Consider the following 27,353-nt stretch of genomic DNA (forward strand, 5'->3'; position numbering starts at 1 on the left):
CCTGACCAACATGGTGAAACCCCATCTCTACTAAAAATACAAAAATTAGCCAGACATGGTGGCGCGTGCCTGTAATCCCAGCTACTTGGGAGGCTGAGGAAGGAGAATCAGTTTTTGTTTTTTGGCTTTTTTTTTTCTTTTTTTGAGACAGAGTTTCACTCTTGTTGCCCAGGCTGGAGTGCAATGGCACGACCTCAGCTCACTGCAATGTCCGCCTCCCAGGTTCAAGGGATTCTCCTGCCTCAGCCTCCCCAGTAGCTGGGATTACAGTCACCCGCCACCACACCCAGCTAATTTTTTGCATTTTTAGTAGAGATGGGGTTTCACCATGTTGGTCAGGCTGGTCTCGAACTCCTGACCTCAGGTGATCCACCCACCTTGGCCTCCCAAAGTGTTGAGATTACAGGCGTGAGCCACCGCGCCTGGCCAGGAGAATTGTTTGAACCCAGAAGGCGGAGGTTGCAGTGAGCTGAGATTGCACCACTGCACTCCAGCCTGGGTGAAAGAGCAAGACCCTGCCTCCAAAAAAAAAAAGGAAGAAGGAAAGAAAGAAAGAAACTCTCATAAAGCCTGTACCACAATGATTAGAAAAATTGGCATAGGGGAAGGTGAATGGAACCATTACCATGAAAGTCATAAATGCCATGAACTGAAAGAAACCATGAACAGAAGATCCTCCAGTGGGAAGGGAAGCCGGGAAAAGCAGCCCTCCAGGGACCATTCTGCCTGGATTTGGATATGGGGAAGTCCTGGGCAGGAGGCCGAGGGGCAGAGGCACTGAAGCCTGAAACAGGGCACCCCCTCTCACAGAGGACTGCACCTTGGACCCTGCTGTCCCTTCAGCTGTCCAGAGCCCTTCCAGGCCAGAAGTGGCAAACAGTCCTGAGAGACATGGAGGTCCTGGAGATTCTTGGAGAGGGCCAGGCACCACTCTGGGCCTTGTCTGTTAGACGGATTCCTCCACCATCTCTCATACCTCTCCTCCTTCGTGTACAGGGAGGGGGCGGGGAGAGGGGCGCCTCCTTGCCGCAGTCCCAGGGCCCCAAGGTGAGAAGTAAGAGGTGGGGAAGGGCCTCACCGTGTCCTGGGCTGTAGGGCCGGGCCAGGCCAGGTACAGGGAGGTCCTTGTCCCAAAGACTCCAGAATCGTAACCCTCAAGCACTTCCTACTGTGAGGAGCTACAAAGCAAGCCGGGGTCTCCTCAGCAGGGTATTATGACACCCTCACATCCCAGCAGTGGAAGGACACTGGTGTGTCACTGAGGTGAGCCTGGGCACAGTGCTGTCTCCTCAGGGTCAGGGAGACACTTTCAGAAGGAGTAGGGGCACTAACTCACCACCCCCACCCCTGTTGAACCCCCAGCACACTGTCTTGCTCGGCTGCAAGCCCGCAGCTTTGGCCTCAGCTGTTAATCCTCTCAGGTGGGTAAATGGAACACGGGGGTGGGGGAGATCCGTGTATCCCATGCTGGCCCCAGCCCCATAAGCTCTAGAAAACAGATAAGAGCACAGGCCTTTGCCTTTGCAGAATAGGACGGACCAGTGGCAGGGAGGAACGCGCGTCTGCCTGTGGAATGAGAGACTGTGATTTCTTAACCTTGATGGAAAAGGGGAAAGCCACATCTTACCAAACTCTTCCGCTGCGTCGTAGGGAATTTAATTACATTTGGACATTTGAATGAGAAGCAGATGTGGCTCTGGCCCGCCGGCCAGCAGCTCTCAAAGGACAGCCACTCTCCTGTGGTCTGCAGGGCTCAGTGCTATCTCGTCACGCTGGAGGGTAGCTCGGGGAGACCCCTTCCTGGGAACTAGGGTGGGTCTTCCAGGCTTTCAGGGCTGGACTTCAGGACACAGGCAGGTCAAGGCCAGCTGCCAGCACCTAGTGCCAAGGACGAGTCTCCAAGCCCTGTCCCCTCTTCATAGCCGGGCAGAGCGGGCCTGTGTGCCGGTGCCTGAGACTCCTCCAGGCCCCCCATTGGCATCCACACAGAGTGGTGGCGTGGCAGCACCTGGCCGGGCATTCTCCATCCCCCAAGCCCACCTGCCATGCCCCTCGGCACTGAGTCCACCCTAAATGGCATCAGCCAAGGCTCTGCCCCCAGGTTGGCATGGAGTAGCTGGAGCTAGGAGAGACATTTCAGCCCCGCTCCTGGAGGGCCCTCCGCTGCTAAAGACAGCAGAGGCAGCAAAGCGTATTTTTTTACCCAGTTTCACGTGTGTGTCCAGTGCGGGTTCTGCTTCTTAAAGCCCCCCACTTGCTTTTCTCATTAGAGCCGTACACGCCCAGTGAGGTCACTAGAGCAGACCCTCCCCTCCTGTGCCACAGATGCTGACGCAGATGAGAAGTGAAGTGACTTGCCCAGGTCATTTGGCACATCTGTGACAGAACTGAGGCCAGAGTGAAGTCTCGGCCTCCTCGCACAGTCCTCCTCCTCCCTGGGCCATCCACAGGGAGTGGTAGGGCAGGGCTTCTCCCACATCTGGCCGATCCTGAGCATGGCTCCAGCCAGTCCTCAGATACATCCAAACCAGCGACAGAGGAGCTGGGTCAGCACAGCATTTTCTCTCCCCTGGTATAGCATGTGGTGACCGCATGTACTCTGCCAGGGGAGAAAGGGGACTCCTTTCTCAGTCCCTGCTAGCCCCAGCACCCCCGTCCTCCCAAGCGCTCACTGCTGGTAGGCAAAGAGGACCCCTGGTCTGTGGGCCTGGCAGCCAGCTCTGAAGCCTGAGGGAGGAACCTGGTGGGGAGGGGAGCCCCACACTGCAGGGTGAAGCCTGGGGAAGAGGGAAAGCGCAGGGGAGCCAGGCAGCCTGGGAGGTGGGTGTATGCTCAGTGTGGTGGGAAGCAGGGCTGCCTTTAACTGCTGCACTTTTCACCTCCTAAAAAGTGCCCTGGGGGCTGAGGCTGGCTCCATCCCAGAGTGTGGTCTCTGACAAGGCTGTCAGGGGCTTAGAGCCAATCTCAGCCAACTCCATCTCTGTCTCACGGAACAGGCCCCCGCCTCCTCAGCCACGCTCTGGAAGAGACAGCAGTTGTTTTCAGGCACAGGACTGGTGTAAGACAAGCAGCCTGGAGCCATGTCTGCCTGGGCCACCACCTCTCCAGGTGCCAGCGCCAGCACCAGGAGGCTGCCAGCCCTGCTCAACCCCACACAATTTGCTCAAGTCTTCCTTCCACTTAGTCTCTCTCTCTCTCCAAGCCCCATTTTGCATAGCTGGTCCTGTTTGCAGGACATAAGGGCCCTGGGTGCAGGCCCCTTGCTGACCAAGTTGATCGCTTGGGGCAGACCCCATATGGTTCATTTGCTGAACTTAGAGCAGTCACGTGACCCGCTGGTCTCCTCTTCACATGTCCCATCAAGGGAAAATGCAGAAAATGCCCGACCTCCTAATGAGAGGACCTCCCCTACTACGTACCTCACTGCCCATTCAGGAACCCCCAGGCAGAAGGTACTGAAGCTGTTGGTTGCAAACCTTCTCAAAGCCAGGCACTGGGCAAGCGCGGGCAGCTCGGCTGGCTGCTGTGTGCCGCGAAGCCATCCGCTCCCCTGGGCCACCCCGGAACCCAGCCCCAGCAAGGGTCTTAACCACAGTCCCTGCTGATGTGGGAGAGCTGAGAGGTGGATGCAGGAGGGAAAAATCGATGCATGTCAACAGGGTTGGAAATTTATTTTCCATTTTGGAAGAGGGTATTTGCAAAGAGGCGAGGAGGGAAATGAAAAGCTGTAAACACACATCTGCCATCTTCCTCCCTGGGCCATTTCTTGATTAAAAAGAAAGAATCCTTCCCAAGCTCCGGTGGAAGCCAAGCTGGTGAGGGCCTGGATGGCAGAGACACCTGCTGGGGAGGGAGGCTGGAGAGGGACCCTGTAGTCCTGTGGATCATCACAATGACTAATCCGATTGCAGCAATAATAGTAACTCACATTTGCTGACTGGAAGCGTTAAGCACTTTGTGATGCACTCTACATGCATTATTTAATTTCATTCTTAGAACCAGGCCATGACACAGACATCGTTAACCTCATGTTCGGGAACCTGAGGCACAAAGATTCGAGTAACTTTCCCAAAGTCTCCCAGGTAGCAGGTGGCCAGGGGGTGTGCTCTTAACCACTTCCCTAAACGCCTCCACCAACATGGGCAGACACTGCCCCTCTGCCTTCTCGGGTTCTCTTGAGGCTGGGGGCTGGACTGGCCAGGGGAAACATCCTCATCCTCCTGCTCACTGCTGGAAGCAGGCAGAGCTGTGGGTGCAGGGTCAGACTGGACCCTAAGGTCTCATCCTACTCCCACCAGTCAGCGTGGGTGGAGAAATGCAGCCAGGGCCCAGTCACAGTGCTCTGCCAATCCCTTCAGTGGGCAGCATCAATGCTCATGTACAGAGCCGTGGACGCTGCTCCTTTTGTGGTGACGGAAGTGCCAGAGCTGCCCAAAGGGTGAACCAGGGGCCCCAGGCAGCCTCTTCCTAAACACAAACAGAGCACTGTCCTCCCTGGCCCCTCTCAGGTCCCTGAGACTAGGGCTCAATGCCCCCACTTCCGAAGCCAGAGGAGCTTTTCGCAGGGCCTTTGATTGGCCAGACGTCCAGGTTGGAAGAGACCCAGAGAACACCAAGCCCAAAGCAGGATTTCCTTACTGTTTTTTTTTGTTTTTGTTTTTTGTTTTTTTTTTTTTTTTTGAGATGCCAGGCTGGAGTGTAGTGGCACAATCATAGCCCACTGCAGCCTGGAACACCTGGGCTCAAGGGATCTTCCTGCCTCAGCCTCCTGAGTAGCTGGGATTACAGGCACGTGCTACCACACCTGGCTAATCTTTTAATTTTTGGACACGGTTTTGCTGTATTGCCCAAGATGGTCTTGAACTCTTGGCTTCAAGTGATCCCCTTGCCTTGGCTTCCCAAAGTGTGGGATTACAGGTGTGAGCCACTGCACCTGGCCCGACTTCACCTCCGACCTACTGCTGGGGCCCCTGGTTTGGCCTCTCCAGCTTTCCCTGCGTCTCACACAGGCCCTGTGCCCTCCGCATTTCACCCCTCCCGGGGAGTCTGCTGCCCGTCAACTCACAGCCTGGCAAAGGGGCCACAACACTGCACTGTGGGTGGAGGTGCATGGGCCCATGCTGCACGGCCCAGCTCAGGAGTAGGACAAGGTGTGGGCAGCCATGCCCTTGCCTCCTCACAGACAAAGAGTGACCCCACCCCACCCCATCTCCCTGGGCACACGCTCCCAAGTGACCAGGGTTGCTTCTCTCTAAAAAGGCCAGTCCCCTCTTTCTGCCCCCTCTGACACCTCTGAGTTTGGATGGGCTCCATATGGAGTGGGGCAGCATGAGGATCCAGCTTGCTTTTTTTTCACCCTGAGAACAGTAGTGCCAAGGATCCGGCTGTCTCATCCTTCACTTGTTTCATGAGAGCGGAGGCACCTTTCCTTCAGTTGCTACTCATTCATCATCCCCCTACCCCTGGGGGCTGTCCATCCTGGCCCAAGGCATAGAGGGGCAGCTGCGGGTAACAGGCCCATTTCCAATATGAGCCAACAGGGAATGGCTCTCCAGCATGGGCATGGGGGCCGGTCTTAGTGATGCCGGAGCTGCCAGCACCCTGTGGCCCGCACCAGCACCCGTTCTTTCTTGGGGGATGGGGGTGGGAGGTGAAGAACCAGAGCTAGTGGTTGCTTCGTCTTCCTTGGTTTTGCTCTCTGCAATGTGGGTATATAGCTCCCACCACCCAGGGGACCACATCCCTGGAGAGTGCAAGGTCACAATGAGGTGACTGGGTCTAGCCACTTGCCTGGAAGCCACTCCTCCTCTCCTGCCCTACTTTGGGGCCTGGAGAACAAGCTCTTTTAAAGCTTCTCCCACTGACCAGAATCTCCACACCTCTAAGGGGGGAGGTGGCTGGGGACACTTCCCTCATTTCCTGCCACAGAGCCCCCAGCACTCTCTTTCGGGCCCTGGCAGGTTCCTGATGGACTTCCCCAACAGGTCCACCTCAACCGCAGGACAGCTGCTCAGACCTGGAGGTCTTGGGAGTGGGGGAGGAGGGCAGCAGCCAGGAGTTGGGCCACTGAGTCAGAAGGTCCAAGGGCATCCCTGAAAACTGCAGTCTGTTTCCCTGTCCTCCTCCAGCAACCCACCTGCATGGGGTCCCATCTGGCACTGCATGGGCCGTAGGTCCCCAGCCCTCCCACTTCCTAAAACTGTTCTTCATGTTGAACCTGTGACTCCTCTCCCCCTCCCCCACTCTGAACGGGGTCTTGGCCCCCTCTGTCACAGCAGATCCATCTCTGGGACCCCCAAGACAGATTGGTCCCCAGCCCCTACACATGCATGTCACTGTCCTCCTTGACTGCAAACTCCCCCTCCTCACGGTGTGCCCCTGCGCCTCCTGACACCTCTCCACCTGCTTGCAGAGATCAGTGTACTTCTCAATCGTTGTCCATATCTTTTCCAAAAAGATTCCTCAATGCTTTTCTTTTCAAAAGGGAAAAAAAAAGGAAAAAAAAAACAATGCCAACAGCCCAGCGTCCGTGAGCAACCCAACAGTAACAAAGCATGCGTTCGGGATGGAGGAAGGTAAGGCCACACGTTTCCATTTGCCGCTTGCTCGTAGGGCTGGGCGGCCGGGATGACTTGGAGGGGGGAATCTGAGCAGCCCTCCTCCCCTCCACTTCCCACACACACCCCTGCCTGCAGGGGGAGGAGCAGAAGGGGTCTGAGAGGAGGCGTGGAGAAAAGCGCCCACAAAGCTGCCCCGGGGCCAGCAGGCCCCCGATTCTTTCAGTTAGTCTGTGTTGAAGAATGGGCCCCCACCTCCCCTTACCACATCATTCATTCATTCATTCATTCATTCATTCATTCATTCATTCATGCTAGAAATGTTTAGGGCACCCATGATTTTCCAGGCCACTAGGGATACAGAGTTAAGGCACAGAACCCCCCCGAGGGGGTCTCCCCTAGATGAGACACATGGGACGATGAGGGGGCCTGGGCTAGGAGTCAGCACAGCGCAGGGTAGGGTCTGGCAGGCTCTGCTCGGGGGACAGGACGGGCTCACAGAGGAGTGGACACTCGTGCTAAGCTTTGGAAGATGAGTAGGTGTTCTGGGGCTTTGTAGAGCAAGTTACATGAACACAGGCCCAGAGGCCTAGAACCACCTGGATGGGTCCAAACACCACACAGCTTCATCACTTTTGTGTCTCAGACATAATAACGGGTATCACTAGTGAGGGGTTGGCGGCAGGTCATGGAGGGCCATTTCACAGTGCTGGGGAGTTCAGACCTTGCCCTGGGAACTGTTAGGAGTGGCTGAAGGCTTTTACGCAGAGGAAAAGCAAGATGAGGGCTGTGCTGTACATAGCCCACTCTGGCTTTGGCACAGGGTGGGTGACCTGGAGTCAGGAGACTGAGGCGCACAGGGCAGGCTTAGCCAGGGCAGAGGCAGAGGAGGGAGAAGTTCAGCAGAGCCTTGGTTACCTTACCCTGGGATGCGGGGGCGAGGGAGAACGCTGCCCCCATCCTTCTTACCCGGGTCTAACTGGCAAAGGGAAAATGCGAGCAAGGCGCTCAGGTTGTCCCTGGCCCCCAAGAACAGGACATTCATCTTGTAAGCCCCTGGGTGGCTTTCCCTGCACTGTGGTGTGATGGGCTGGGGTGCATCCACGAAGACTCATTGGTGGGACCACCGAGGCTGCTGGGGTATTTGCTGGGGGCCTATGCCAAGGGACGGTGGGGGTGCCATGCCTGGGCCCGGGCTCCCGTTTCCTGGCTTCCTTGGCAGTGTGGATGTGGAGGCATTTTGCATCAAGGCCGTTAAAGCTGCCCCTGAGCTGTAAAAAGGGGCCAGCCTTCCCCATCCTGGTGGCCCTGCCTGCTCCTTCCTCGGGGGCTTTCTTCCTTAGGCCTGGCGGCCCGATCCTAAGGAAGCCCCTGCTTTTCTTGCGCCTGCCGGTGCTCTTCTCCCGCCCGCCTGGCCCTGCTGTCAGCGCCCCCTAGTGCCGGGCCGGCCGCGCATGAGGGCGGTGGGACAGATCGCCCACAACTCCTCGGCTTGCTTTTGGGGAAATAAGGCAACAGAGGGGTCTCTTGGAGTCTGGAGCTTCCATGTAAAATCCCCAGGGTCTACTCTTGGCTTTACCACCCTCTCCATCTCATGGCACGATGGCCTGTCCCCCCAGATTAGGGTGATACTGAAGGAGGAGCAGGAGAAAAAGATCCTATCTGCCTTGTTTTCTATCCATATCCAGATAGCTCTTGACTTTCCCAGGCAGCCAATGTCCCCTGGAGGTCAGGGACCATAGTCAGGCCCTCGGTCCCTGTCCACAGTCCCATCCCCCTACTTTCCCCAATTTGCCAAGAAGCCCTGGTGTCCCAGTGAACTGTCCCACCGAGACCCCGGCGACAGACTCGGCTGATGGATCCCAAGGGCCCCTCCCCTCCCCAGGCCCAGGTGCCCGCCTCCTCCCCACTCCACTCTGTGGCTGCTGCAGGCCTGCAGGGAGTCGGGGTCAGTGGTTCGTTGCTGGCTGGCTGGTGTTGGCCAGCCCAGGAGTGAAGGCCATGACCCCTTCATTCCCTAACCAGAGCCGGCTGTACTGCGCGTGTGGTGGCAGGGGGCCTGGGAGCGGTTGCAGGATGAAGACCAAGGTCTCAAGCCAGACCAGACGAGTGCAACGTTTTTGCACATCTTGCTGTTTCAAGTGACTGCTTTGAGGTCCTGCACTCCTGGGTGGACAGGCCAGACTCCTTCAGTCACAGGCAGGCATCCCTTGGAGAAGGAAAGGTTGCAGGTCTACATATCTTGGCTTGGGGCAGGCTCCAGAGACTGCCCGGTGTGTGTGTGCCCATATGTCAGAGCCCCCGGGGGAGACTGAAAGGGAATCGGAACTGACCACCTTCAAAAAGCCAAGAAGTAATTGGTTCTTCCTTGCACTCAGCAAGCAGGGAATTCCATTCCCAACCCACCTACCCCAGGACCTGACTTGGGTCAAGAGATGGTAGGACAATTGAGCGGCCCACAGCTGAATTAGATGGATCAAGCTGCCATATCTGAGGTGGCAACATGGATGTGCAGGGCCAGGGAGGCAGAGGAGGAGGAGGGCGGGACTCCCTGCCTGCCCTTCAGGTTGATGCTGAGGGGCCTCCAGGAGACTTGGGGCCTAAGAGGAAAGGAGAAAGGAGGCACTTCAGGCAGACAGGGACCCTCTCTTCATTGGAGCAGGCCCCTCTCAAACCAGGCATCCCCTCCCAGGGAAACAGGACACTTGGCAGGAGGTGCCAAAGATGAGCCAAGACCTGGCCAGCAGATGGACTGTGTGGGTGAGCATGAGTGAATGAGTGAGTGGCAAAGCCAGGCAGAAGCTCTAGGCACAGGCAGGGCAGGAGAGAGGTGGGGACAGATCAGGCAGGGATGCTGCAAGCCCTCCCGTGTCCTAGCTTCTCCCCGCCTGCCTCCCCTGTAGAGCCGGGACAGAAGGCACTGTGGAGTTGGGGGCATGCTGGCTGAGCATGAGTGTGTGCAGGCGTGGGTACGGGCTCATGAAGAGCTGTGTAGTCCACACACATCGTCAGGGTGGCCGTGCTTCGGGCCTAAAGGGCTTCCCGCAGCAGGGAGACGGTGCTCTCACACCAGAGTCTGCCAGCCAGGGGGCTTTCCCTCCCCTGGCTGAGCCTTCCTGTGACCTGAGCTGCCCCCTGCCCATCCAGGGAGCAGGCGGGGATCCCCCTGCGGAAGGACACAAGTGAACCCAGAATGGTGCCTCAAGGCAGGCAGCCTGGCCCAGATGGTGCCCCCACTCCCCAGACCCAACTCTAACCAGGCCTGGCCCTCTCCTGTGTCTTGCAGAACTTCAGCGAGAGGGAAGCATCGAGACTCTGAGTAACAGCTCAGGCTCCACCAGCGGCAGCATACCAAGAAACTTTGATGGCTACCGATCTCCGCTGCCCACCAATGAGAGCCAGCCCCTCAGCCTCTTCCCGACTGGCTTCCCGTAGGTACCAGCAACCTGCTTCTGACTGGCCAGCCCCCTCCCCTGCTGGAGGAGGGGAGAAGCCCCGCTCTGGTCCTACCCTTCAGTCTCTGCTCTTCCTTCATCAACCACCTTCCCCAAGCTTAGTGACAGCAGCCGCCCATCCTACCTGGATGGAGAAGAGACCCTTCTCCAAGCACCTCAGCGCACTTGCCCTCTGCCACACCTGTCGGTGGAGGCTGTGGCCAGGAGAGACTGTAGAAGCTCGGTCCCTGTGTATGTTTGCATATGACATCCTGCATTGGATCCGCTTTTGTATTTTTTAACCATACCCACGGTGGGGCGGGTGGGGGGAGCCTGGAACAGTGACCAGATCTGGGGGCCTGAGTGGGGACAGAGTTGATCGTCCACCTGGCCATTTTGACCCTGAGTGGACAGTCACAGCCTCAGCTCATGTCTGGCTGTGACACACACTGCCCCCAGCTTCCCTTGGTCAGCCCCACTCCAGCACGGGGTGAACGGAGGCCCAGAGTACTAGGGAAGGAGGAAGGGAGGACATGCCTCTTCTTCCTCCTTTCTTTCCCCATCTGTTCATGGGAAGAGTTTGTCTTTCTTATCTTTAAGCCCCTTTACCCTGGTCCTGTACTGATCAGTGAAGGAAACCGTGGTTACTGAGGCCCTGTTGAAAAGTGCACGTCTTGTCCAATAAATCACGCTGCAGTTGGTGTCCATCCCTGAGTTGCTGGGGTAAGGGTCCTCTCCAAATGCTGAGCAGAGTCCTATGGCCTGAGTGCCCAGGATCCCAACACCCCCTTTCATGTGCAACTTGGGGGCAGAAGGAGTCAGTGGAGGATTGGAATGGGAAGAACTTTTGTCCTGGAATTTGGATGGGGCCTGATTTAAGAAGCCCATTCTCTAAGCATCTTGCCTGTTACCAGAGGCAATGAGTTCTTGGGGTGCCACAGGGTTGGACCCTCCTCCCTGGGGATCAGGGCTTGCCATGTGCTGGTGGGTTGCTGTCAAGGGGAGAGTCTGGCAAAGCCTCATCTGGGGGGCACCTTGTTGTAATTGCCTCTTTTTAACTCAGAAGATGGAAGGGTGGTCAGGTGAAGGTGGGTATCTCATGAAACCTGGCCGGAACCCTCAGATGACACGTTCCTGATTTTGTCCCCCCGCCCCACCACCACCACTTCCGGACCTAAAGTAAGTGGCAACAGAGACAGGAACAGGGAGAAAAAATGGTGCATTGAGCAGGAAGGAGACGAATGCTAGTCCTTTGCCCCCTTCCCTGGCCCACACTTCCCAGAGACCCCAGGGAGGCCTTGGAGAATGGAAGGAAACCCACAGAGCCAGGTGTGATTTGGGGTAAAGTTTAATGGAAAAGCCGTGGAAACGTTGAGTTCACAAACAGGACTTCCCGTGCAACTGTCCAGCCAGACCTGGGGCAGCTCCTGGGGACCCTGCCCCCTTCACACACACCCATCCCATCCATGGTGCCTGAGAGGCCTTCATCTTCAGTTCCCTCCACCAGATCAGTTGGGCATGTTGGGGGCAGAGATGGAGGGTTGTTGAATCACACTAGGCTCTGTAAGCTGAGAAGACGATCCTGCACAGGGTGGCATAAGCCAGTCCCTCCTGCCAGGGCACCTGCAGGGCGAGAAGTCACATGCCAGACTGAGGCATGCTTGCGAACACTAGCCTGGCCCCAGCAGCAGGGGGTGCTGGAGGAGCTGCAGCTTTTCCCCATCTTGCTGAATTATTGATGGGCCTGGCACTGCCCCTACCCCCAGCTACAGCCATGTTTCAATCAAAAAGGGACAAGGAGGAGAGTGCTACCAGGCTACCTGTGCATGCTGCCCATGGCCTGTCTTCCTGGGGATGGGTTCAGCTGCCCTAGGAAGCATGAGCCCCTCTGAAACCACCCCAGGACACGTGGATGTGGCAGAGACCTTGCTGCCAGGGGCTCTCTCAACCATTCAGGGAACTGGCTGGCAGCTTACAGAGTCAGGAGTCCTCCCTGGCCCGGCCCTTCCCCTCCAGCAGGGGCAAAACAGCTGTGGCCTCCCCCAGGCAGGGAAAGTGGTGGGTGTAGGGCTGGACTTGCCGGCTGAGCTTGCAGGACAATCTGGTTATTCATCTGCTTGAAGTCAGGGCAACTCTTTGAGTATGTGGGGGAAGGGTGAGGATAAGAGAGACCAGATAAGCTGGCCCCACAGCGGCTGCCACTGGAGCTCAGGTTATCAGAAAGGCCTTGGGCCTGGCCTCCGGCTAATTGGGGAGGTTATGGAGCCTGCCATAGCCTGTAATCAGCTGGAAGGGAGAGCTGGGCCCCAGGGTTGGGGACCTTACTGGCCACTGGCCCCAGAGCAGCCGCTTCCTATCCTCTACAGATAACATCCAGGGCAATCTGGGACTCACCCCCAGCCCCAGCAGACCTAATGGTGGCATCATCTGGGAGGGCATCAGAACATGAATCAAACTGTGGCTGATCAGGGGACCTTTAGGAATCCATGTGACCTACCGATTCTCTCGGCACTACCTGGTCAACGGGCAGCTTTACTACGGACTTCCTCTCAATTTGATGAAGGAAAAATACCTTCATGATCTGGAAAGAGGCCGGTGGGAGCCAGCGTGGCAACTGAAGGAGCAAGAGTACTGTCTGAGATGAGAAAAGGCACGGTGGGCCTGAGGCCAATTCAAGCACACAAGCTCAAACACCAGGGCCAGCCCCTCTGTCAAGGAGCAGAGGCCAGGCTAGGCAGCCACCAGTCTGGAAGTGTATATGGTTTCTCAGTGGTAATTTTTTATTTTCACAATTCAGGGACTCATGAAACTAGAAAGTACCTGAGAGTTCTGTTCGAGCCTCATTTTTTTTGCAGATGACAAGCAAGCCTGAGCCCCAGAGAAGGGCAGGGCCTTGCCCAAGGTCACAAAGTCACACGCCTAGTGAGCCTATCCCTGTCTGCACCTGGCTGCTTCACACCCTGGCCAGTTCCCTTAGAGGGACCCAAATCCGAACTGACCTCCCTGTCCTGTGCCCCTATCCCATCCAGAATGCTGACCCCACTGATCCCCATCCTGACTCCATCAGGCTTCCTGCCTGGGCTGAGAGACTGAATTTGCAGCTGCTCCCTTGCCCCTGTGTAGCTGGAAGGCAGCCCTCCCACTGCAGACCTAGAACTGGAGGCTCTAGAGGCAAAGGGACAGTGCATCCTGTATGTCTCGAATTCAGAGCAAGAGCCCAGGGGAGGGTGGCAGCCCTGGCATCTCAGGATCACCTTGCTGTAGGAGCAGGGGTAGGCAGCTCAGCAGCACCGGCTTCTTAGGAGTGGGTTTGGACTTGCTCTCTTTAAGGTCCCAGGGTCCCATCCCAGCTCTGCCACCAGCAGGTACGTGGCCTTGGGTACATGACTGCACCTCTGGGATTCAGGGTCCTCATGTGTAAAGGAGGGAGTGGAGGGGAGAGAGCAGCATGCCCTTCCGAAGGCGCGACAGAGCAGAAGCAGGCAGAGGGGAAGCTGCGGGTCCACAAGGCAAACCCATGGTTCGAGGGGAAGTTGACAGCCAGGCCAGGTGCCCCTTAGCAGGGATGGGGAGGGCGGAGGCGGCACAGCTGGAGCCCGGATTGTGGCACGCCGTCACCGTGCTGCTCCGGGGAATCCCGACCCGCTCCCTGCGAAAGCGTTTCCGAACGCGAACCCAGAGCCTGTGAACGCGCCGGCAAGCCCCCCACTCCCCCACCGCCGCCCGTCGCAGGTGGGCCCGTCCTAGGGGTCCTTCCTGCGCTCTACCCCGTCTCTCAAGTCACTCAGTCGATCGCCCCGTTCACGCTCCCGTGATCCCAGACATCCATAACCACGATCTCGCCTCCATGCACATCCAACGCACGACGGTGCACAGACGTGCACCTGACTTCTGCGGACCAGGTGTCTCAAGCGTACAGCGGCCACCCGCGGAACCGCGGCCCGGGGCCAGTGAGTCGTCTGCAGCTCCCCGGGTTAGGGGATTCCCCAGAACTCCGGGAAAGTCACCCGAAGTCCATCCGGGATGCGGCCTTGGTTCTCGGCCGCGTGATCTCGCCCTTAGGTGCAGAACGACGCCCTTCCAGGGCCCACAGCTGCCAGGCTGGGCCTTGCCCTCGCATCCCCCGGGAAGACCAGGGACGGGGCCACACAGGCCGTGGCTGCGGAGACGCTTCCCCGGGCCACCCCGCGACCAGGAGGGAGTCGAGCCGCCCGCTCTCCCCGCGTCCCCCGCCCCATCCCAGCCAGTTGGCCCCACCCTGCGCGGGATAATTGGGACGGGAGGGAGGCGACGGGAGGGCGGCGGCTCCAGAGAGACTGCGCGCCTGTCAGCGGCAATTTGTTTAAGTGGACGGGACGGGCCGGGCCGCTGCGGGCTGGGGTCACCGAGGCCGCGGCCCCCACCCCAACCAGACCTGGGACCGCGGGGGAGCCCGGTCCGGCCGCTAAACCGGGCTGGCTGGCGCCAGGGCTCCGGGAGGTGCGGTCCGGCGGGGAAGCCGTGATGGGAAGCGACTCTGTCCAGGGAGTGTCCTTCACCACCACACTCCTCACGTCCAGGCAGTGATCGACGGCCTGGCGGCACCCTCACAGCGGGCCCATAGCACGGGGCCACACACGTCCCCTGAGCTTAGCCTGGGCACATTCGTCTGCCACCGAGGGCTTAAGCCAGTCTGCAGCCCGCGCCCCGTCACTCGGACGCAAGTCCGTCGTCCGCTCTGCCACGCGGCCGCACAGCCCGAGCTTCCTGCTGCCCACTGCCCGCGGGGTCACGCAACCCCGGCCCTGCACACAGAGGAGGAAGCGGCGGGGACCCCCTGCCACCTGGAGGCTCAACCCGGGGAAGGTCCCAGCAGTGCCCCTTAACCCTGCGAGAGGTGACGGGGCCGGAGGACGGAAGGGCAGCCACGCCAGGCTCAGGACCGCGGCCCCACCCGGCCCAGGCCGTCCCCGCTCCCGCCCCATTTCACTGTTGCGGGAAGCGCGGGGCGCACAGACCGCGCGCCACCAGCCCAAGCCCGCCCGACGCCCTGGCCGGAGACCGCCTGCGAGAGGGAGGGGCGGCCGAGCGCGCGTCCCCCGCCTGTCTGCGGGACCTGGCCGATGCGAAGTGACAGGGGCCGGAGCTTTGTTGTGGAGCCTCGGCCGCCTGGCGCCAGCCGCCCCCGCCCGCGCCCTCCCCCTCCAGCCCCGGGCGGCCCGCGAGGCGCCCCCCGGGGCCTCTTAAAGGAACACGCACACTCGGCCCCCGGGGCTCCGCCAGGGGAGGGGGTTCCTGGGAAGGGGGAGGGGGCCGGCCTAGGTGGGGGAGGGGCCCAGCGGAGGCCTCACGGCGCCGCTCCAGGGCCTCCCAGGCCTCCCCAGCGCCAGCTTTCGGTGAGCCTCGGGCATTCCTAGCTGGAGAGTTTGGCTGGGGGTCGCTACAGACTCTTCAGAGCGGCTGCAGCAGGACCTCAGGGTGATCGCGGGACCGCGGGGCGGGGCGAGTGGTGGGATCCTGGCCCGGACAGAGCCCCGGAAAGCCAGAGGGAAGGTCGGTGCCACTGTAGGTGGGGTCGCCGTCCCCAGATGCAGCCGCTGCACTGTCGCCGCCAGGTTTCTCGGTCAAATAACCCAGGCCTGAGTGTTTCAAACTCTTCAGGCCTCGGACCCCTGGACCAGCTATGGATGGACTAATGAAATGGACTAATGTCTAAAACGCACACATTTAGATGTACACATACTCTTACAAGGACAAAAGTATGTGTCTACACACACACACACACACACACACACACACACGCGCGCGCGCGCGCGCGCGACTTTGCGAATGTATTCACGGATTCCTAGGCCGGTACCTGGGTTCCCGGCTAAGGAAAGCTGCCCTGGTTATTATCTGGTCACCTCACCGGCTGCGCAAACGTGTCCACAACGGGTCCCTCCCCGAGAGGCCACATCTCGCCTAAGGTGGAGCCAGCAGGTATTTGCCTGTGGAAAACTGCAGTGGATCCTGCCCCGTCTGCGTAGACTGCGCAGCTCGGAGTCAAAGATTCGTTCTGGCCAGAGAGGAGGTACTAAGAGAGGTGCGACCTAGCCAAGAACGAGGTCGTGGAGAAAACCCTGTGGGGGCGGCGCTCACATATGCGGTGATGAGGAGTTGTGAGGGCCCTGGGGTCGGCCCCGAAAAGTAGGGATAACGGTCGCAGAGGCCATACTGCTTCCGCCGGTCCCGAATCCGCACTGCCAGGAGAGATCCGGCCTTCAAACGCTGCTCCCAACGTTCAACAACGAAGTGCCCTGCGACCGGTGTGCGCAGTGGGCGGGCGCCTGCATGGGTCAATGTTGGATGTACGCGCCCACCACGCGGTTGTACGGGTGGGAATGTCACCCGTGGCTAGTGCATGCTCTGTCTTTTCCTTCAGAAAACGACCTTCAGGAATCAGCCTGAGTGTTCGCGCCCGAGCCCGATTGGAAGCAGGTGCGTGGTCGCTTCACTCTCCCCGTGCACACCTTGAGTTATAGCTCTCGCTGCGCACAGAGGGCACCACACGGGGCCCGACACACACACACACACACACACACACACACACACACACACACACACCATCACTTCATGGGGGGGAAACTGAGGCTGCCGGAAGACAGAAAACGAAGACTGATCACAGAAGAGGGGGCTTCAATCACAGGTGCTCGCAGACACCCCAACTCCCTCACGCGTTACTCAGCACTCCTTAACTTAGGAGACGTGCGCTTCCGAGAGATGAGAAGAAACTAAAAAAGTGGTTGGCAGGGCGAAGAGAGGAAGCCGGTATTTCGGAAGAAGGAGACTTTCGTCTCCGGTACCGGATAGGGCGAAAATTCGTTGGGTCGCGGGTGGAGAATCCGGGGTCCGCCCGCGCGGTGCCGCCCTGTGCTCAGCGAAAGGTGCGCTCACCTTCCTGGCCCCGAGGATCCGCTCCTCCCGGCCGCTGGAAAGCTCAGGGCGGGGCCCGGGCCTGCGGAGAACTCCAGGTTCCTTCCGAGTCTTCCGGTGAAGGCGGGCGCGGGTAGGGGGTCCCCGCGTTTCCCCAGCGCAAGGCCGCGTCCCGCTCCCGCCCGCGCCGGCCCCAGCAGGGCTCGGCCATGGCTCCACTCACCAGCTCCCGCCACCTGGGATCCGCTCCCGGACCTCGGCCGCCCGAGCCTCCCGACTCGCCCGCCCACCGGCCTCGCTTTCCAGTGCCTGCTGTCTCTTTCCGGGGCGCAGGGACCCCCAGGCGGCGCCACGACCCGGAGCTGGGTCGGAGGCCAGGCTGGGGCTCGGGCCAGAGCGGCCGGGCCTCTGGGCGCGGGAGAAGGAGGGCGCCCCCTCTCCGCTCGGGGTCGTGTCAATGCTTTGCACTTGGGGCCGGCGTGCGGCTGCGGGTCCTTCCCCAAGGCCCCGGGACCCGGGCTCCCCTCGCCTCAGGCCCTTTCGGCGGGTCAGGTCGGCCCTCCGCGCTCTCCAGTCCGGCGCAGGCAGCCGCAGGCGCGGGCGGGCGGTGGGGGCCGGGGCAGGAGGAGGGGTCTCGGGGCCCGGCGGCCCGTCATTGGTTAATATTTTATTCTGTTGACATGTTTTCTTACTGCTGAGGCTTCCGACACCTTCTCCCAGGCCCCCCCTCCCGGCCGGAGCTTGGCCTGAGCTGTCAAAACCCCGCCCCCGGAGACCCACAATTGGTCCAAAAAGCGTAAAATCAGCAATCAAGGGGGGCCTGGCTCGTTAGCGCAGGGGATCCGAGCTGGGCAGGACATGTGAGATAGTCACAGTTTTCCAGAGATCACGACAAGATCTAACCAGTCGCGCGTGGTCCCCGGCGCCGGAGCGGGCCAGCTCAGCCCGGCCCAGCCCGGCCCCGCGCAGAGCCCCCGCCGCCCCCGCGCACAGAGCCGGGTGCCCCTTGCGGTGCGCCGGACGGGAAGCCCCGAGGAGCAGCTGCTGCGCCCGCCACCCGGGTCGTCCGTCCACCGCGCGCGCCGCCGCCCGGGCCGGGGGTCCGAGCCGCGCGCCCCCGGCCCCGGCCCCGGCCCCCGGGCGCCTGGGCCGGATGTCCCGATGAGAGAGCCGGCGCTGGCGGCCAGCGCCATGGCTTACCACCCGTTCCACGCGCCACGGCCCGCCGACTTCCCCATGTCCGCCTTTCTGGCGGCGGCGCAGCCCTCCTTCTTCCCGGCACTCGCGCTGCCGCCCGGCGCGCTGGCCAAGCCGCTGCCCGACCCGGGCCTGGCGGGGGCGGCGGCCGCGGCGGCGGCGGCGGCAGCAGCGGCCGAGGCGGGGCTGCACGTCTCGGCACTGGGCCCGCACCCGCCCGCCGCGCATCTGCGCTCCCTCAAGAGCCTGGAGCCCGAGGACGAGGTGGAGGACGACCCCAAGGTGACGCTGGAGGCCAAGGAGCTGTGGGACCAGTTCCACAAGCTAGGCACGGAGATGGTCATCACCAAGTCCGGGAGGTAGGGCTGCCGGCCGGCTGGAAGGCGCGCGGGCGGGCGGGCGGGCTGGGGCACGGGACTGCACGGATCAGAGCAGAGCTGGGGACTCCCGGCTCCCGGCTCCCGGCTCCAGGTTCTGGCCCTGACGCCACGCTTCGCTCCCACGGACAACCAAGTTGACTTTTCTCGTTTGGCACCGGAGCGATTTTTTTTTAAAACAAAAACGCTAAAATCCTCCGAATGAAATAAAACGAAAACATACTGCTAAAGAATAGCCCCAACCGTTCTGAGTCCCAGCGCAGAGGAGGCCCCGCGGCTTGGCCCTGGCGGTCTCCTCCGCCCCGCGCTCTCGCTCTTCTGCGTCCGGGTCCGTCTCCGAGCTCGGGGGAAATTCAGCCTCTCTCAGACTCTGCTCCGACCCCGAAGCCCCTAGTGGGACCTGGGCCCAGCTAACCCCACGCTGGTTGCTCGGTTCCTGGCAGCGAGCCCCGGGTCAGCCGAGCCCTCCGCCTCACCGGGCTGGGAGCCCTTTCTCCACCGCGGGCATCCGAGCCCTGGACGCATCCGCCGCCCCAGGCCTTAAAGCCTGAAGAAAGCCACAGCCCCGGCCCCTCCACCCTTCGACTCAGCCACCGAGAATCCAGGCCTCGGGTTCACCCTCTTCCCCCGAACTGCACGGCCAGGATGTCTTATCAGGCTCTGTAGCCCAGTTCCCAATACAAACACCCTCCAGATTTATTTCTGGGAGCTTCCGTCCCAAGTGGGTATTTCCCCTGAACGAATTTCGGGGAGATTAAGGAGAAGCGAGAATATTTCTAGAGGGCCTAGACTTCTCTCCTGGGCATCAGCTTTCATCTCAGATCAGGGAGAAAGAGGGTCCCCAGATCTGAGCACAAGGCCTAAAGGAGGCTGTTTAGGAGAGGGTCTGACAGGCAGAAATGGGATCTCCTGGGAGCAACAACCACAGGTGGGGTCGTCCGGGCAGTGATGAGAGGGCAGAGCAGCCGACCACAGGGGAAACAGCCAGGCGGCAGCGGTGTGCGCAACGAGGAGGGATAAATAAAGGAGGAGTGGGGTCCTGGAACCTAGAACAGCCGGTTCCAATGGGATCTCCTCCCTTCCCTCCCTCCCAGGCGGATGTTCCCCCCCTTCAAGGTGCGAGTCAGCGGCCTGGACAAGAAGGCCAAGTATATCCTGCTGATGGACATTGTAGCCGCTGACGATTGCCGCTATAAGTTCCACAACTCGCGCTGGATGGTGGCGGGCAAGGCCGACCCTGAGATGCCCAAACGCATGTACATCCACCCAGACAGCCCAGCCACGGGGGAGCAGTGGATGGCTAAGCCTGTGGCCTTCCACAAGCTGAAGCTGACCAACAACATCTCTGACAAGCACGGCTTCGTGAGTGTTGGGGCAGGGTGGGGACGGTGCAGGAGCTTGTTGACCCAGCACTGCAGCTGAGCAGGAGAGCAGGGCGGCAGGATCTCCCAGGGGGAAGCGCTGGGCAAACCCCCAGAGTGCCCCTGCCCGGGTCACTGCCCTGTGGTCTACGTGGGCTGGGCCTGGGCCTGGGCCCCAGCGCTCTCCTTTGCAAGCCTGGGAAATGGTGGGGTCAGTGGCTGGCAGCTCACAATCTCAGTTCCTCAGGCCGTGGAGGGTCCCTTGTACCGTCAATAGGGAGGCAGGTGCTGCCAGGACTGGGTCTGCAGTGCTGGACCACGGAGGTCACCCTGCTCTTGGCCTGTAGGTGCCGAGCTTGGAAGACCTGCCCATGACCTCAACTTGTCCATCACCCTTCTGCCAAGACCCGCGTCCCTGGCCCTCCCCCAAGACTAGGGGATTTAAAAGTTAAACCACCCTCCCCACCCACCCCCCCAGCCTCCCTAAGACCTTTCCCTCCTCCCACAGGCAGATGCCCAACTAGGAGGAGAGGGTTTGGGGGTTCTCTCCATTTATGCCTGAGCAAGGCCCCAGCGAACGGGGGTGGTGTTTCATAGGGTAAAAGGAACTGCCCATTCTGAGGTAGGGCAGTTGGTGAGCCCCCGAAGGTTGGAATCTCCTCTTTGTGGGGTTAGGGGGTTTACCAGTGCCAGAAAGGAAGAGAGTGTTAAGAGTGGAATTGTAGGGCTCTGTTTTGTTTTATTTTGTTTGGGTTTCTTTTGTGGGGAGGGGTTGTTTTTTGGTTGGTTTTTTTGTTTTGTTTTTTGTTTTGTTTTGTTTTTGCTCTGTCTCATTTCTGTTTCCAACTGGGAAATTTTTTTTAATGGCAAGAGAAAAAGAAGCTGTGAAAAGAGAAAAGCGAGAGGAAAAGTAGAAGAAAAAGAAATAAGGGTGAGAAAAGAGCAGAGACAGGAGAAAATGGGGAAGAGGAAGAACCGATAGAGAGAGAGAGAGAGAGAGAGAGAGAGAGAGAGAGAGAGAAAGTGGAGAGGAAGAGGTCAGGTACCCAAAGAATAGAAAAGCTCGGGCCGGGGCTGGTGGCTGCCGGCTGACCCCCACCCTCCCCGCAGACCATCCTAAACTCCATGCACAAGTACCAGCCGCGCTTCCACATAGTGCGAGCCAACGACATCCTGAAGCTGCCTTACAGCACCTTCCGCACCTACGTGTTCCCGGAGACCGACTTCATCGCCGTCACTGCCTACCAGAATGACAAGGTGCGCGCGGCGGGCGGTGGGCTAAGCCCCTGCACTGACGCCCCTCAACACGTGCAGGCCCAACCGTCCGTTCATCGCCCCTCGAAGCCCCCTGCACGGGATCCGCGCTCTTGCGGCCCGCCCCCGAGCACCGAGCCTCGCATCCATACGCGCAGCACTCACGGAAGTCCTCAAGGCGCCCTCTCAATCCCACCGCGCGCACACACAGGCTCCCCTGGGGCGAGCGAACAGCTGGGCCGTCGTTCTGATGGAGATGTTTACTTAACAATTAGCTGAGACTCCGGGCCCGCGCTGACATTTTTACATTTTATTCGTTTATTTCTTGGCTCAGGAATGAGAATGTAAGTGAAGAGAGGGCGCCCGAGGCAATCTGCCCAGGCTCTACCGATGCTCAGAACCCGGGGCCCAGTTTTCACTCTCTCGGGGGGAGCCAGAGGGTGGGACAGGTGACACAGCCCCCCAAAGCACTCCTGGCTACTGCTCTGGGTCAGTCTAGGCCCCAGACCCCTTGGGAGGCGCTTAGAGAATTACCTTCCAATCAAAGGGCTTTTTCTGCTTGCGGCTTCTCCACCCTTGTTCTAGTGGGGCAGAGCATCACCCCTCTAGGCCTGTGCCCTTGTGCGCCACTGTCGAGTGAAAGAGAGGGTACGAGTGTCCGTGCCGGTCGTTGTGGCTTTGTGAACCAAGGTGTACGCTGGGCTGTGCGTGCCCCGTTTGGGGTGTGTTGGATACCTGTGGAGGCATGTGAATTCGTTTGGTTCCGTAGGCGTTTGTTATGTCTGTGCACACTTGCGTGTGTGCGAGCCCGTGAGTGTGATTTGGCTTTGTGTGTACCTGCAGCCTTGCGTGTGAACTGCAGTCTCTGTTCGCGCCTGCTCGGGTGCGGAGTCGTTTAACTTGCGCAAGCCCGCGGGCGGGTGTGCATGCTTGGGCTGGTTCCGACACTGTGGCACTGCTTTAGGCCTGTGTGGGGCTGTCTAGGCCTGTCTAGGGATAATTCCTCGAATGAAGCTTTTGGAGGACAGACCCCGTCGCTTTCCGCGAGGCCCTCCCACCGGCCTCAGCTCGGGGCGTCCCATCCCAGGCGGGTGGGTACCAAGTGGACGCTCCCCGGGTCTTCCCTCTGCGGCCAGCACCCGCTGACCTCGGGGTGCCACCGACCACGCTGGAAGAGCCACGGCCTGACTTAGCGCCGCCCCCTTGGTCCCCGCAGATCACACAGCTGAAGATCGACAACAACCCGTTTGCCAAGGGCTTCCGGGACACCGGGAACGGCCGGCGGGAGAAAAGGTGAGAGGCCGAGGACAGCAGCCCTGTGGCGGGTGCCCGCGGGAGCAGCGAGCAGGAGGGATGGAGGGATGGGCTCCCCGCTGACCTGGTTCATCCGCTCATCCCCAGGAAGCAGCTGACGCTGCCGTCTCTACGCTTGTACGAGGAGCACTGCAAACCCGAGCGCGATGGCGCGGAGTCAGACGCCTCGTCGTGCGACCCTCCCCCCGCGCGGGAACCACCCACCTCCCCGGGCGCAGCGCCCAGTCCGCTGCGCCTGCACCGGGCCCGAGGTGAGGGTCGGACCGGAGGAGGGACAGGGAGGTGGCGGCGGGGGGTCCTCAGGTCGCTGGGCTGGTCTTTTGCTGAGCCACCCGCTAACCTGAAAGGCCAGGAAGGAAACGTCGGCGAGTGTCTGGGATGGGGTTTCCGTCCCGGGACTCCCCTACGAGGGCGGTCCCCGGTAGCCAGAAGATCCGGCCGGACTCCGAGCCTGGCCCCTTGGGCGCCGTGTAATTCTATAGCTGTAGGGTTTCCTCTCCAGGGCTGGGTTCCTTCCACTGTAAATCTGGGGTCTTGGATTAGGTGACCTGCAGCTGCCCTTTGCCCGACTCCAGCAGCTCCTCCGACTCGGCCTCCCCGAGAGCAGCCCTTCCCGAGTGTCCCTGATCCTGCTCGTCGGCCTCCGCCCAGGCCCCTGTAATCCGCGCGCCCTCTCCCCGCAGCTGAGGAGAAGTCGTGCGCCGCGGACAGCGACCCGGAGCCTGAGCGGTTGAGCGAGGAGCGTGCGGGGGCGCCGCTAGGCCGCAGCCCGGCTCCAGACAGCGCCAGCCCCACTCGCTTGACCGAACCCGAGCGCGCCCGGGAGCGGCGTAGTCCCGAGAGGGGCAAGGAGCCGGCCGAGAGCGGCGGGGACGGCCCGTTCGGCCTGAGGAGCCTGGAGAAGGAGCGCGCCGAAGCTCGGAGGAAGGACGAGGGGCGCAAGGAGGCGGCCGAGGGCAAGGAGCAGGGCCTGGCGCCGCTGGTGGTGCAGACAGACAGTGCGTCCCCCCTGGGCGCCGGACACCTGCCCGGCCTGGCCTTTTCCAGCCACTTGCACGGGCAGCAGTTCTTTGGGCCGCTGGGAGCCGGCCAGCCGCTCTTCCTGCACCCTGGACAGTTCACCATGGGCCCTGGCGCCTTCTCCGCCATGGGCATGGGTCACCTACTGGCCTCGGTGGCAGGCGGCGGCAACGGCGGAGGTGGCGGGCCTGGGACCGCCGCGGGGCTGGACGCAGGCGGGCTGGGTCCCGCGGCCAGCGCAGCAAGCACCGCCGCGCCCTTCCCGTTCCACCTCTCCCAGCACATGCTGGCATCTCAGGTAAGGCCTGTGACCCCGCGGCAGCGCCAGCGAGGGAGAAGGCCCAGGGAGCTGGCGGCGAGGCCAGCGGAGGGCCTGAGGGGTGCCAGGGTCGCTGGGATCCTCTGGCAGGCAAGAACTCCATCCAGGGGAGGCCCCGGGATGCCCTTTAGGACACCTGGGTTCTGAGAGACGAGGACTGTGTTGTAAGTCCAGGGGCTGGCCAGGGCGCCGCTTCTGACTCCCGTGTGACCTTTGGCAAGTCCCTGACCCTCTCTGGGCCTGCTTCCTTCCCTATAGCCCCAGCGAGGAGTGCGGTGCCCATCGAGACTCTTCTCACCCTCACAGACCAGGGCCACCCCTGGCTTGTGAAGTCTTCTCTCCTGGCCTCAGGACATTTTTCTTGAGAACAAAGACCCTTGGCTCCCTGTCCATTCTGAAAGGCTAAGGTGGCCAGACAGACAAAGGGAGAAGGAACATTTGCATTATTTTCTGGACAGTTGACCACCAGCCCTCCCAGAGGTCTCTGGCCCCTCCCAGGCCTTCTACGAAGTCCTCTGTCCTGGTGAAGGACAAGGCTGGTCTTTCCCCTACCTTGAGTTCCCAGCACCCCCAGCCACATGTCAGGGATGAGAACTCAGCTCTTCAGGCCCCATTGAAATTCCAAGCTCCCAGGGGAGTGTTGACGAAAATGTGGCTGGGGCACAGTAAGGAGATCCGATGGGGACAGTGGCCTCTTTGGTTGCTTGGGTGGAATATTCCCTGTGGAAAGATTTGGAATCTCTTCATTCATTTTCTTCCCTCTGAGGTTTCTGGCAAATTGAACCCCTGAGATCTTATCTCAAGGGAAGGAAAATAGCAGTTCAGGTCTGAGAAAGCTCCTTTGCTTCAGCAGCAAATATTTTAAAAGTTGGGTTGGTGGGTGGGGGGGTGGGGGGTTGGGAGGCAGGCGATTCTGAAATGAGTTTTACACACAGCTCAGTGTTAGGGTGTGTGGAGTGTTTGAGGTATCACCATCACTCATCTGGGGCTCTGGGCTGGAAGGGAAGCCTCTGGAGAAAGTTCAGGGCCCAGAGGTTTAATCTGCACCCCTGATTATTTGTGTATATGAATGCCTCCTCCCCAGACAAACTGGTAATAATCACCAGCATCACAGAGGTCATGAGGAAGTCAGGGCTTCTAGACACAGCCTGGCCAACAGGTGCATGACCCGGGTGAGAATACCAGCACCTGGGAGGCATCCGTTGGTAGGGCTGCTGGTGGTTACATTCCCAGGCCAGTGCAGCCCATCCCAGACATCAGGTAGAGCCAAATCCCAAGAGAACTGAAGCCTCCCTCCTTCCTCCCAACCTGGGATGCCAGGTCTGAAATGCCCAGTAGGACCTGACTGTCTCAGGAGGGGGTATTTTCTCAGGCCTGATGAAGCTGCCTCTTTTCTTCTTCCTGCTAGAGCCAGGCCTGAGGCTCCCTGGGAGCCCAGTGCAATCATCAGCCCCCTGCCCTCCTCCCCATACCCACTAGCTCTGGGGAGTAAGCCATTATCTCAAAGGTCAGGCCGTGCACCAGCCAGACCTCATGAACTCAGGAAGGTGCTTGTCCAGGAGTTCCTGGCTGCTGTGCCCTTCACAGGCAAAGACTGCATTCCTTCCTCAGCTGCCAGTGAGGTGCTGCCAGGCATTCCCTGTAGAACTTTCAGGCCAGTTTATGAACTGGTTGGCACCCGTGTCCTCCTCCTGGCCCAGGCAGGAGAACCATGAGCAGGCAGAAGGAGACTTTGCAAAGTGCCTTCCCCAGCATGTGTGCCCTCTGCCCTTCAGAGCCTGCAGATAGGAGGGGTGGCGAGGACACTGTTCTCAATGAGCAGAACCTCCAAGACACCCAAAGCTGCCTGTTTGCCACCTGGCCCTATGCCTGCCCCGTTTTCTCCCTCAAGGCCTTCACCCGTGCTAGGGCAGTCACCTGGAATGTCCTTTCCATTACCCCTGCTGTAATGCCCAGCACAGAACTTGATGGCAGGCCTTTGCATGGTAGCCTGAAGCGATCTCACCCTTCTAACTGGGTTTGGCCACAGGCACACTGGCTCATGCTTACCTGTGCTGCCTGTGGTTATAGTTATGCGAATTGTGGTTTTACATCCCTAAAACAGAAGGGCACGGTGTCCAGGGGATAGCACCCAGCCCAACTTCAGAAAGACTTCAGGCAAGATGTCTAACCCTCGTCTTGTTCTGTTTCTTCCAGGGAATTCCAATGCCCACTTTCGGAGGCCTCTTCCCCTACCCCTACACCTACATGGCAGCAGCAGCCGCAGCCGCCTCGGCTTTGCCCGCCACTAGTGCTGCAGCTGCCGCCGCCGCAGCCGCCGGCTCCCTCTCCCGGAGCCCCTTCCTGGGCAGTGCCCGGCCCCGACTGCGTTTCAGCCCCTATCAGATCCCGGTCACCATCCCGCCTAGCACTAGCCTCCTCACCACCGGGCTGGCCTCTGAGGGCTCCAAGGCCGCTGGTGGAAACAGCCGGGAGCCTAGCCCCCTGCCCGAGCTGGCTCTCCGCAAAGTAGGGGCCCCATCCCGCGGTGCCCTGTCGCCCAGTGGCTCGGCCAAGGAGGCGGCCAATGAACTGCAGAGCATCCAGAGACTGGTGAGTGGGCTGGAGAGCCAGCGAGCCCTCTCCCCAGGCCGGGAGTCGCCCAAGTGAGGGGCTGCCCAGCTGCTCCCCTGCCACGCAGGCCACCCGGGCTGCCTGCCCCTGCTGCTTGGGACGTGTACAGCACAGAATGAGTATTTATTTAAATAAAGGAGAAAAGTGGGCTGCAGCAGCCGGAATAGAGCCTCGTCTGGCAAGTCGGGGCCTGGGACACTTCCCTGGGCCTCAACAAGGATCAGGCTGCTGGAAACACAGTCACTTGGGAGCTGCTGGGCTAGGTCCAGATCCGCTCCAGCGTCAAGGTGGCATCCGAAGGTGTCTCTGGTCTTCCAGCGAGGTGGGAGAGGCCTCATCCAGGGCCCAGCGGTCCCTGCAGAAGCCAGAAGGTGCAGGGGCCAGGGGTGGGAGCATCGGAGGGAGTCCCAGAGCCCTGGACCTTGGGCCTAGACCGCGTGATAAAACTGGGTTGAGGGATGCTGGAACCAGTTACGACTGAAGTCAGTGTAGACCTGAGCTGGGAGGGAACCTGTTAGTCTCCCCACCTCTTCCCTGAAGAGACAGGCACCCCTCCCAGCCGTGGTCAACGGAGGGAGTGGCACTTCTGCCTTGAGTCCCCAGGGGAAAAAAAAAAAAGATATTTATGAAATAAATGGTAATTTGTGTAAATAAGCTTTAAGGTTCCCAGAATATGCAAATTGGTATTAATTTATTCAAAGGTGTACATTGCTGTGTACATATATTTAGAGATTAACTCATACATTTAAAGTTTTTTTCATTTTACGTGAGCATCTATATTGTACAGGGCTGGGGGGGCCCTTGGCTGCGGGAGAAGGCCCAGAGCCCTGGAGGAGCCACCACCCCGCCGGCCCCTCGACCCCTCGGCCCCTCGGCCCCTCCGCCCGGGTTTGGCTCGCCCGGCCCGCGGGCTCCACCTCAGGTTTTCACTTTTCGCTCCGGAGCGAGAACGAAACGACAAAAACGCAAGAAAACAATAAAACGCTAGAAAGCGAAGTGAACGGCGCTGTGCGCTC

The 27,353-nt window shown here is 60.1% G+C and overlaps 2 protein-coding genes and 1 long non-coding RNA gene across 12 annotated transcripts in view, besides 8 other annotated features; 2 read left to right on the top strand and 1 right to left on the bottom strand.

The window, feature by feature from the left end:
* Positions 1-10,698, top strand: part of BCAS3 (BCAS3 microtubule associated cell migration factor) — a 714,981-nt gene extending 704,283 nt beyond the window's left edge. For 6 of the 8 annotated variants that reach the window (NM_001353144.2, NM_001353145.2, NM_001330413.2 and 3 more), the window contains one exon: positions 9,844-10,698. In NM_001353144.2, coding sequence (NP_001340073.1) covers positions 9,844-9,992 — 149 coding nt within the window. In that variant the 3' untranslated portion in view covers positions 9,993-10,698. Of the gene's footprint in view, positions 1-6,484; positions 6,576-9,843 lie in introns of all 8 variants that reach the window. The other 2 variants (NM_001353146.2, NM_001320470.3) reach the window with 1 other exon arrangement.
* A 624-nt stretch (positions 10,699-11,322) lies between these two features.
* On the bottom strand, positions 11,323-17,473 carry TBX2-AS1 (TBX2 antisense RNA 1). Of its 3 annotated transcripts, NR_125750.1 has the most exons (3): positions 17,106-17,473; positions 12,489-12,605; positions 11,323-11,614 (listed from the first exon to the last, which is right to left on the bottom strand). It is a non-coding gene; the product is annotated as a TBX2 antisense RNA 1 (long non-coding RNA). The 3 variants fall into 3 exon arrangements; NR_125751.1 differs by lacking the exon at positions 12,489-12,605; NR_125749.1 differs by lacking the exon at positions 12,489-12,605 and having other exon boundaries at positions 16,904-17,473.
* Positions 14,995-15,546: an enhancer, noted in NCBI's record as "H3K27ac-H3K4me1 hESC enhancer chr17:59474489-59475040 (GRCh37/hg19 assembly coordinates)". NCBI's record gives its function as "activates a minimal SCP1, AML or CMV promoter by ChIP-STARR-seq in naive H9 embryonic stem cells {active_cell/tissue: H9 hESC(naive)}" and the evidence as "EXISTENCE:reporter gene assay evidence [ECO:0000049][PMID:30033119]".
* Positions 16,667-17,927: a promoter, noted in NCBI's record as "-1096 to +165 promoter". NCBI's record gives the evidence for it as "EXISTENCE:reporter gene assay evidence [ECO:0000049][PMID:23727221]".
* Positions 17,547-17,794: a promoter, noted in NCBI's record as "p216 promoter". NCBI's record gives the evidence for it as "EXISTENCE:reporter gene assay evidence [ECO:0000049][PMID:18640248]".
* Positions 17,576-17,605: a protein binding site, noted in NCBI's record as "T element". NCBI's record gives the evidence for it as "EXISTENCE:protein binding evidence [ECO:0000024][PMID:25371204]".
* Positions 17,634-17,660: a protein binding site, noted in NCBI's record as "Sp1 site". NCBI's record gives the evidence for it as "EXISTENCE:protein binding evidence [ECO:0000024][PMID:18640248]".
* Positions 17,654-17,682: a protein binding site, noted in NCBI's record as "CCAAT box". NCBI's record gives the evidence for it as "EXISTENCE:protein binding evidence [ECO:0000024][PMID:18640248]".
* On the top strand, positions 17,710-27,333 carry TBX2 (T-box transcription factor 2). Its single transcript, NM_005994.4, has 7 exons — positions 17,710-18,438; positions 19,551-19,818; positions 20,928-21,074; positions 22,288-22,364; positions 22,473-22,636; positions 23,069-23,703; positions 25,921-27,333. Exons 1-7 carry the CDS (start codon positions 18,044-18,046, stop codon positions 26,371-26,373), a joined length of 2,139 nt encoding a protein of 712 aa, NP_005985.3. The 5' UTR covers positions 17,710-18,043; the 3' UTR covers positions 26,374-27,333.
* Positions 17,783-17,794: a transcriptional cis regulatory region, noted in NCBI's record as "DPE (downstream core promoter element)". NCBI's record gives its function as "important for basal promoter activity" and the evidence as "EXISTENCE:deletion mutation evidence [ECO:0005510][PMID:18640248]".
* Positions 23,275-24,172: an enhancer, noted in NCBI's record as "H3K27ac-H3K4me1 hESC enhancer chr17:59482769-59483666 (GRCh37/hg19 assembly coordinates)". NCBI's record gives its function as "activates a minimal SCP1, AML or CMV promoter by ChIP-STARR-seq in naive H9 embryonic stem cells {active_cell/tissue: H9 hESC(naive)}" and the evidence as "EXISTENCE:reporter gene assay evidence [ECO:0000049][PMID:30033119]".

This window comes from Homo sapiens, chromosome 17, assembly GCF_000001405.40.
Source record: "Homo sapiens chromosome 17, GRCh38.p14 Primary Assembly".
NCBI classification, from domain to species: Eukaryota; Metazoa; Chordata; class Mammalia; order Primates; family Hominidae; genus Homo; species Homo sapiens.

Bases quoted from the DNA above. Each gene is read 5' to 3' on its own strand.
- TBX2 (NM_005994.4), top strand. From the start codon at position 18,044: ATGAGAGAGCCGGCGCTGGCGGCCAGCGCCATGGCTTACCACCCGTTC. The intron at 18,439-19,550 runs GTAGGGCTGCCG...CCTCCCTCCCAG, and splicing joins GTCATCACCAAGTCCGGGAG to GCGGATGTTCCCCCCCTTCA. The intron at 19,819-20,927 runs GTGAGTGTTGGG...CCCTCCCCGCAG, and splicing joins TCTCTGACAAGCACGGCTTC to ACCATCCTAAACTCCATGCA.